The sequence below is a fragment of the Homo sapiens genome, chromosome 7 (genome assembly GCF_000001405.40).
Source record: "Homo sapiens chromosome 7, GRCh38.p14 Primary Assembly".
Taxonomy (NCBI): domain Eukaryota; kingdom Metazoa; phylum Chordata; class Mammalia; order Primates; family Hominidae; genus Homo; species Homo sapiens.
The window spans coordinates 135,840,183-135,850,355 of NC_000007.14; the positions used below are offsets into that span (position 1 = coordinate 135,840,183).

The window sequence follows — 10,173 nt, forward strand, 5'->3', positions numbered from 1 at the left end:
AAAAACCACTAAATAAAATCATATATTGGTAGATATGGTTATATGTGCTTAGAAAAAGCTCTGAAAGGCTTATACAAAATTATTCAGTGTTATCTTCTCCAGGAGGTAGGATTGTGGGGGATTTTCAGTTCCTATTTTGTATCTTTTTGTATTGTTTAGCTTTCGTTTCAAACATAGTGACATTTCTAAATATGCTTGGTAATGTACATTATGCTGGTAATATAAATTATACAAAACATATTGGCATTTTGGCAAAGGTAGAATTAACATAATTATGAGTGTAAAATATATTATGAGTGTAAAATTCTAGGCAGATGTCGAAGTCATCTGCCTAGAATTTTCACCATTGTCCCTTCATATCTTAATATCACAATACATGCAATTAGATGATAAATGGTGTCTTATTATTTGATAAATAATTAAGTAAATATTACATCCTTTAGTTCCACTGTTTCCTGACACATAAATGGATGCATCAAGTTGTCACAGAACCCCTTCCTTAATGGGAGACAATCTTTTATAAATCTTTGGATGACACAGAAGCAGCAGAAAACACAAGCTACTGTTGATTTATGTAAGATATGCAAAGATAAAACAAAGCAGAAAAATACTGAGTAAAGAAAAGAAAGCAGCTGTGGACTATAACATTCTACAAGCTCACTATGCCAAAAAAAAAAAAAAAATGGTAGTACTGGATAAGGAATACACCTGTGTAAATAAACCATCTGAATCTCCTGTAATCCTGTATTGTTTTTTAGTGAGATACCTGTTTAAACCTACTAAATACCTATGAAAATATGCATAAAATTTATATATGTATATATTTTAAGTAGTACATATATGTGTATATATGAATTCAAATTCATTCAAATTTGCATTCTGCAATAATGAAGAATTCTAACTCACACGTTGATGTGTGTGTGGTGTGTGTGTGTATTCTCTGTGCATCTCTTTCTCTTGCTATCTACACATACAGATATGCACAGAAGGTTATCTAGGCCTACATCAACCTGCTAACCATGGTTGACTTGGTGTGGATGAGTTTATTAATTTTATTTTTTAAATGTTCATTTTAGCTGCCTGAACTTTTAAAAAATTTTCTGTGATAAGCATATTTGCTTTCATCATATGAAAACAAACCCAATTATATATGTATATTAAAAAAAGAAGAAAGTAAATAGATGTCAATAACCTTTTCCAGAGATGTCAGGGGTGGAAGTGAGGTGGCTGTGGCTTAACCTAAATGGACGATGATCAAGTAGTGGCAGGGAGCATGGAAAATTCCTTTAATAGTCTTGCATGAGGGTGAGGAAAAGGATCAGACAAAGCTAGAAGTGGACATAGAGTCCAGCAATGGAAGGCTTACTCTATGTGTAAGAGGAAGTCTGGAACTCCAGCACTCCTGGTCTGTTTTCTGCAAAGCAGTCTTACTTTTTGTCTTCCATTTTCCCTTTCATCTGCTCAAGACACTGTCATTTCTGTGGCTCCTCTTATGTAAAAAAAAGTTTGGAATCACATTAGGTCACAATTGCAGTCTCAACTAATTAATTTAGAATTAAGTCTAATTAATTCTAAATTAATTAAGTCTACTCCAAGATAATAATCAATTGGAACTTGGTTTAATGTTACCTCTTCTCTCCTCTCCCCAGCGGGCCTCTTGCTGTAATGCTGGGGCTCTCAGGGTCCTCCTCTCTCCCTCAACCTCACCTTTCTTCTCAGTCTGGGCTTGTTAACTGTGCTTCTCCCACCAGGGTCAGAACAGCAGGAGGGATGCAGGTGAAGCTGGCTCTGTAGCAAGATGGCTTTGCCTTCTCTGGGCCAGCAGATGCTTATAGCCAACTATCTCTGTACATTTCATGGATTCCTTGAAGATTTGCCTAGTGAGCCCTTCAAACTGCACCTTCCTAGCTGGCCTGTTACACTTGATCCTCCCTCAGTCCTGCCCTCAAGCTCTACCCACCAGAATCACCCAGAGCCCCTGACTGCTGGGGTCCCCTCTTTCAGGTAGCCTCTCCCTGATCAAGATTCTTACATTTGCTCCCTGGGAGTGAGAGAACTTCCTAGACTCTATCCTCTACCCTCGAGCCACAGGCTGCTCTGATCTTCTCAGGCACGGTCTAGATCCCAGTCCCTCCAGCCCCCCAGCTGCAGGGGGCACATATTAATCTTGCCAAGTGGCCCCATTAAAGCTTTCTCACCAGCTTGAGGTGAGGGCAGACATCCCTTTCATCCTTCCGTCCTTTGGGGATAAGACACACAGCATGCCAGTGGCTCTGCTCAAAAATCCTCTCTCAGTCCCCTCTCCTTGGACCCTTTTTGTCCTCCATGTGAATGAGAGAATTTAAGTCATAATACTGGTTCTTGGTTGTGCTGTTCTGAAATTTCACACCTGGTCTAGCAGGTGTGAAAACACCCTTTGGAATGCAGCAGTTATTACGTTTTGGTGCCTTGGTCTCAGCTTCTTACTTAACATTCTGTTATATGCAAATGGTGATGAGCCAGCACCAATAAAGAGGGGGAAGCTGAAGATGCAGGAGATGGAGACTGATGAAGTTGAGGTCTGAAAATTGGTGAAGGAATTGGCCAAGAGGGAAGGAGGGGCCTATATTCCACTGGGGCAGAAGGGATGGTAGAAAGCAATTTTTAGATTAGAGGAGGCAGGCAGAAAATGGATAGAGCTTCCATCTGAGGATTTCTATTTTCTCCATGAAATAAGAGGTCAGAGGTTTCCTGAAGCACAGTGAAGAGGAAAACTCTTGATTGAATTGTTCTGAATCATTTGTATGATGAAATTCTGAGGGAATTTTCAGCCCAGCTGAAGGTTGTAAAACCCACTCCAATGGTGTAGGCTGCTGAAAGGGCTGAGTTCCCTCTGCATCAGGAAAAGTCTAGATTAATTTTTCCTGGGCTGGCGGGAGAGAAAAGATGAGATGTACAAAGACCAAAGAAAGAAGGGTGTTACATGACAAAGGAAGATCAGAAAAGCCCAAAGATAGTCAGACTCCCTGGGTTACAGTGGAAAATTTTTATCTTTGCAAATAGACTCAAACTTCAGGTTTGAATGTCCTGAGACATAAAAGCCCTAACTACACACTAAGCAGCACCCAGCTGAATCCCACAGCTCAAAAGAGGAAGATGATACGAAAGAGAAGTCCTAATGTGGTTCTGCAATTACTGACAGGTTTCAGGGACTGGTCACAGGGAAGAATGAAGTTCTTTGGGCTTATTCATTTTCAGAAGCCACAATCTCAGAACCTCTGGTTTGTTCAGTTATGGTTAGACTCTCTCAATTTTGCTTCAGAGGAGAACACTGATATGCACAATTGAGAATGAAATTTTTCTTTTTCTTTTTTTTTGAGACGGAGTCTCGCTCTGTCACTCAGGCTGGAGTGCAGTGGCACGATCTTGGCTCAATGCAAGTTCTGCCTCCCGGGTTCACGCCATTCTCCTGCCTCAGCCTCCCGAGTAGCTGGGACTACAGGCGCCCACGACCACGCCCGGCTAATTTTTTGTATTTTTTAGTAAAGACAGGGTTTCACCGTGTTAGCCAGGATGGTCTCTATCTCCTGACCTCGTGATCCGCCCGCCTCGGCCTTCCAAAGTGCTGGGATTACAGGTGTGAGCCACTGCGCCCGCCCGAGAATGAAATTTTTCTATGTCACAAACCTCTATATCTATTGAATGGCAAGGGCAACTGGGACTCTGTTTAGTTGGTATCATGTATGAGCAAATGCTATAACAGCTCCTTTAACTAGAGAGATAAAATTACAAGAATGGAAACTAATATTTTGATGGCAATACAAGGCCGGGGGAGAGGGAAGAGAAATAGAAAGTGAAGCATGAGAAATTCTCTCAAGGCCAGGCGTGGTGGCTCACGCCTGTAATCCCAGCACTTTGGGAGGCTGAGGTGCGTGGATCATTTGAGGAGTTCAAGACCAGCCTGGCCAACATGGTCAAACCCCGTCTCTACTAAAAATACAAAAAAAATTAGCCAGGTGCTGCACACCTGTAATCCCAGCTACTTGGGAGGCTGAGGCAGGAGAATTGCTTGAGCCTGGGAGGCGGATGTTGCAGTGAGCCAAGATAGCGCCGCCACACTCCAGTCTGGGCGACAGAGTGAGACCCTATCTCAAAAAAACAAAAACAACAAAAAACCCCCCCAAAACCAAATTTTCTCAAAACTAAACTGCTATTCACAATCAAAGGAAATTAGTAGAAATTTATGAGCTACAGTTTTAAGCAGGGAACCCTTCTTAGCATTCGCTAAGATAAATCATGTGGATGAACTCGAATAAACCTAAATGACAGGCCAGTCTTATTGTTACTGAGCCATGGGCTTTCCTCTTAACGTGCATAGAAGCCAATACTATGGCACAGGCTTTTGAGAAAAGAAAAAGCTTTATTGCAAGGTCAACTGGCAAGGAAATTGGAGGCAACACTTAAATTCGTCTCCCCAAGCTGGGGCCTGAGAGCAGGTTTTACACACAGGGAATAACAATCAGAGACATAGGAAAATGCAACGAGGCATGATCTGATTGGGCCATGCAAAGAGGTGGTGAGGTGTCCTTGCCTTTTAAGTCTGTAATGCAGCAAAACAGGGTGCCCTTCTCTTCTTAATTTGATCCTCCTTCTTCAATCTGAGTTCTTAGGTTCCATATGTGGTTGATGTTTTCACTCTGGCCACCTACAGGGTCACGAATTGGGCAGGCTTGGTTCATCTGGGTGTGCTCAGGTTATGTGACTTGAAAGCTGGAGGTCCACTGCAACTGAAAGCAACTCCTCATTTTGTTACATTTTGTGACTGATAGAGCTCAATCCCATTGGACCGATTCTGTTATTACATTATTAATATTGACTCTTAAAATGAGCACTTCTGCTGAGGATGGTCACCTTACGTTGTCCCCTCGATCTTTCAGTGATTTTTCATGGAGTTATGTGGTATTATTTACTGGGCCACTGAGAAGCCATTTTGAATACTTGGGAGAGTGAAAAGTAATTTCTAAAGCGGAACTTGGGTTTTACTTCAGAACTCCCAGTCCTAGTCTTGTCACATTGGAAAGATCAGTGGGGTGGGACCCTGGCATTGTGATATTGAATGTATGTATATGATCTGAACGCAATTTTCTTCAAAGGGATCAAAATCTTCCATCTGAAAAAAGTGAAATGTGGTCTAGTGACTTTTTTCAGAGTCAGTATCTATCAGGGCAAAATCTTGAAGACAGTTGGGAATAAAGGAAACAAAACAGATTTCCTCAGTAAGATTCAAAGCTTTTAAACTGCGATCTGCTTAAAATGTCCTGTGCTAATTATTGCCCGGATTTGTTCAGCTGAGAAGCTTCTGAAGTTGGCTTGCTTGAGTGCGAGGTGCTCCATTTTAATGTTGCAAAACCTCCTCAGTAACCACAAAGGCAACTGTTTATCTCAATCTTCACTTAAAACACCTGCTTACTGATACTTGATTATGTGTTTTGAGGCTTGTGATTGAGAGCCTAACACCTGGCTGATTAGACTGATGTTTGATCATGTTTTGAAAAGCAATTTTACTACTTAGCAAGCAGTTCTATGCTGCAGTGCATTAACTGGATTGAATGTCCAAAACTCTTAGTATTGTTTTTAAAAAATAACCATTACAGAATAATAGCTTGTTTTCATTAAGGAGGAAATGAACATACAAATTCTTACACTATTATGTAAGTGTATGATGCAACCCATTGTCCATTAAGTCAGTAGGTTTCAAAGTGTGGTACAAGGAGAACCTGCATGGAATTCCTACAACAGATATCTTGAATTAGAATCTGTGGTGGTGGGGCCCATGATTGACATTATGAGCTAATTCCCTATGTGGAGAAATGCTACTTTAAGGGAAGACAACTTTCACCTGGATCCTGAAATAGACCAGGTAGCTTTCTGGGTAGAAACTTACAGCTCGGATCTGTGAAATCAGTCTGCGCTGAGAGTCGAGAGGCTTTCTGTCTTTTCTTCAGAGACCACTGTGCAGGTATGTGAGATCTTGTGTCATGGCTGGCTGGGTAGTGAACCCCTCTCCAAGAGCCTAGGAGGTGAGTGAGTTAGGCACCCAAGGTGGTGACAGGCACCCACTTTCCCCCTCTTCATTTTACAAATGAGAAAATTGAGGCCCAGACAATGGAAAGGATGGATAGAAGGTAGCGGAATGTGGAGTTGAGGCCAGATCCCCTGTCTCATCGTCCTCACTTATTGCTCTTGAGCCAAGTCACCAAAGGAAGAACTCTTTAGAAGGTGGGGCCCCAGGATGTCTACTTTGGGTCCCTCCAGGGCCGCTCTCTGCTCTTTTCCCCTGTGCTGTGCTCAGGAGGCCGGCCTGCTGGAACTACAGCCAAGAGCTCCCTGCCCTCTGGCGTCTGGGTGGATTTGGCCAGTGGGAGGCACCACTGGGGGACAGGAAGAAGGAGCCCATGAGAGTGAGCTCACCTGAAGGTACCACATGGGTTTGGTGACAGGAATAGCATGACTAACTGTAATAGCCAGGGTTCTCATGAGAAGCAGAGACAAGAGGATATGCATATATGAGACTTATTGTGAATTGGCTTGATTATGGAGACTATGAATTCCTATATCTGCCACCTGCAAGCTGGAGACCCAGGACAGCCAGTGGTGTAATGCCGTCTAAGACCTTAGGCCTGAGAGCCAAGGGGCAGATGGTGTGCATCCTGGTGCAAGGGCAGGAGAAGGATGTCCCAGCTCAGGCAGGTGGGCAGGAAGCAATAGGGGCAAATTTCTCTTTCCTCTGCCTTTTGTCCTATTTTGGCCCTTAACAGATTGGATGACTCCCACCCACCGTGGGGAAGGCCCATTTGCTTTATTGAGTTCACACATTCAAACAGTAACCTCATCCCGGAACCCCCTCACAGACACACCTAGAAATAATGTTTAATCTGGGCGCTGTTGGCCCAGCCAAGCTGACACATAAAATTAACCATCATAAGTCCACCCCTTGTCAACTTGGCATCCATCGCATCTCCTTAAACCATACTTAATACCCAAATAAAGACAATATCAAAGGCCATCATTCCATCTAACATGATACACACCCATCCTGTGTACAACTGAAAATGCACTAACCCCTTCCCCAGAAGAGGAGGAAAAGTCCTCGTGTGATGTTTCCTCCCCTCCCTATATCCTGTAACTTAGAGTCATGTGTCACTTAACAATGGAGATGCATTCTGAGAAATGTGTGAGGTGACTTCATCATGTGTGAGCATCATAGAGTGTACTTACACAAACCTAGATGCTATAGATTACTACACACCTAGGCTCTGGGACAGCCTACTGCTCCTAGGCTACAAACCTGTGCGTCAGGTTATTGTATTGAATACTGTAGGCAACTGTAACCCAGTGAAAAGTATTTGTGTTTCTAAATATTTCTAAATATAGAAATAGTACAGTAAAAATATGGCATAAAAGATTTTTTTTTGTTTACCTTCAACAATTTTTTTTATTATACTTAAATTTCTAGGGTACATGTGCACAACATGCAGGTTTGTTACATATGTATACATGTGCCATGTTGGTGTGCTGCACCCATTAACTCATCATTTACATTAGGTATTTCTCCAAATGCTATCCCTCCCCACTTCCCCCACCCCATGACAGGCCCTGGTGTGTGATGTTCCCCACCCTGTGTCCAAGGGTTCTCATTGTTCAATTCCCACCTATGAGTGAGAACATGCGGTGTTTGGTTTTCTGTCCTTGAGATAGTTTGCTCAGAATGATGGTTTCCAGCTTCATTCATGTCCCTATAAAGGACATGAACTCATCCTTTTTTATGGCTGCATAGTATTCCATGGTATATATGTGCCACATTTTCTTTTTTTGTCTTTTATTATTATACTTTAAGTTTTAGGGTACATGTGCACAATGTGCAGGTTTGTTACATATGTATACATGTGCCATGCTGGTGTGCTGCACCCATTAACTCGTCATTTAGCATTAGGTATATCTCCTAAAGCTATCCCTCCCCCCTCCCCCCACCCCACAACAGTCCCCAGAGTGTGATGTTCCCCTTCCTGTGTCCATGTGTTCTCATTGTTCAATTCCCACCTATAAGTGAGAATATGCAGTGTTTGATTTTTTGTTCTTGCGATAGTTTACTGAGAATGATGATTTCCAATTTCATCCATGTCCCTACAAAGGACATGAACTCATCATTTTTTATGGCGCAGAGTATTCCATGGTGTGTATGTGCCACATTTTCTTAATCCAGTCTATCATTGTTGGACATTTGGCTTGGTTCCAAGTCTTTGCTATTGTGAATAGTGCTGCAATAAACATATGTGTGCATGTGTCTTTATAGCAGCATGATTTATAGTCCTTTGGGTATATACCCAATAATGGGATGGCTGGGTCAAATGGTATTTCTAGTTCTAGATCCCTGAGGAATCGCCACACTGACTTCCACAAGGGTTGAATTAGTTTACAGTCCCACCAACAGTGTAAAAGTGTTCTTATTTCTCCACATCCTCTCCAGCACCTGTTGTTTCCTGACTTTTTAATGATTGCCATTCTAACTGGTGTGAGATGGTATCTCATTGTGGTTTTGATTTGCATTTCTCTGATGGCCAGTGATGATGAGCATTTTTTCATGTGTTTTTTGGCTGCATAAATGTCTTCTTTTGAGAAGTGTCTGTTCATGTCCTTTGCCCACTTTTTGATGGGGTTGTTTTTTTTTCTTGTAAATTTGTTTGAGTTCATTGTAGATTCTGGATATTAGCCCTTTGTCAGATGAGTAGGTTGTGAAAATTTTCTCCCATTTTGTAGGTTGCCTGTCACTCTGATGGTAGTTTCTTTTGCTGTGCAGAAGCTCTTTAGTTTAATTAGATCCCATTTGTCAATTTTGGCTTTTGTTGCCATTGCTTTTGGTGCCATTGCTTTTGGTGTTTTAGACATGAAGTCCTTGCCTATGTCTATGTCCTGAATGGTAATGCCTAGGTTTTCTTCTAGGGTTTTGATGGTTTTAGGTCTAACGTTTAAGTCTTTAATCCATCTTGAATTAATTTTTGTATAAGGTGTAAGGAAGGGATCCAGTTTCAGCTTTCTACATATGGCTAGCCAGTTTTCCCAGCACCATTTGTTAAATAGGGAATCCTTTCCCCACTGCTTGTTTTTGTCAGGTTTGTCAAAGATCAGATAGTTGTAGATATGTGGTGTTATTTCTGAGGGCTCTGTTCTGTTCCATTGATCTATATCTCTGTTTTGGTACCAGTACCATGCTGTTTTGGTTACTGTAGCCTTGTAGTATAGTTTGAAGTCAGGTAGTGTGATGCCTCCAGCTTTGTTCTTTTGGCTTAGGATTGACTTGGCAATGCGGGCTCTTTTTTGGTTCCGTATGAACTTTAAAGTAGTTTTTTCCAATTCTGTGAAGAAAGTCATTGGTAGCTTGATGAGGATGGCATTGAATCTATAAATTACCTTGGGCAGTATGGCCATTTTCACGATATTGATTCTTCCTACCCATGAGCATGGAATGTTCTTCCATTTCTTTGTATCCTCTTTTATTTCATTGAGCTGTGGTTTGTAGTTCTCCTTGAAGAGGTCCTTCACATCCCTTGTAAGTTGGATTCCTAGGTATTTTATTCTCTTTGAAGCAATTGTGAATGGGAGTTCACTCATGATTTGGCTCTCTGTTTGTCTGTTGTTGGTGTATAAGAATGCTTGTGATTTTTGTACATTGCTTTTGTATCCTGAGACTTTGCTGAAGTTGCTTATGAGCTTAAGGAGATTTTTGGGCTGAGACAATGGGGTTTTCTAGGTATACAATCATGTCGTCTGCAAACAGGGACAATCTGACTTCCTCTTTTCCTAATTGAATACCCTTTATTTCCTTCTCCTGCCTAATTGCCCTGGCCAGAACTTCCAACACTATGTTGAATAGGAGTGGTGAGAGAGGGCATCCCTGTCTTGTGCCAGTTTTCAAAGGGAATGCTTCCAGTTTTTGCCCATTCAGTATGATATTGGCTGTGGGTTTGTCATAGATAGCTCTTATTATTTTGAGATACGTCCTATGAATACCTAATTTATTGAGAGTTTTTAGCATGAAGGATTGTTGAATTTTGTCAAAGGCCTTTTCTGCATCTATTGAGATAATCATGTGGTTTTTGTCTTTGGTTCTGTTTATATGCTGGATTCCATTTATTG

At 41.7% G+C, this 10,173-nt stretch overlaps 1 annotated feature.

The window, feature by feature from the left end:
• Positions 6,359–6,511: a silencer, noted in NCBI's record as "fragment chr7:135531289-135531441 (GRCh37/hg19 assembly coordinates)". NCBI's record gives its function as "represses an EF-1alpha promoter that drives an FKBP-Casp9 reporter gene in an ReSE screen in K562 erythroleukemia cells {active_cell/tissue: K562}" and the evidence as "EXISTENCE:reporter gene assay evidence [ECO:0000049][PMID:32094911]".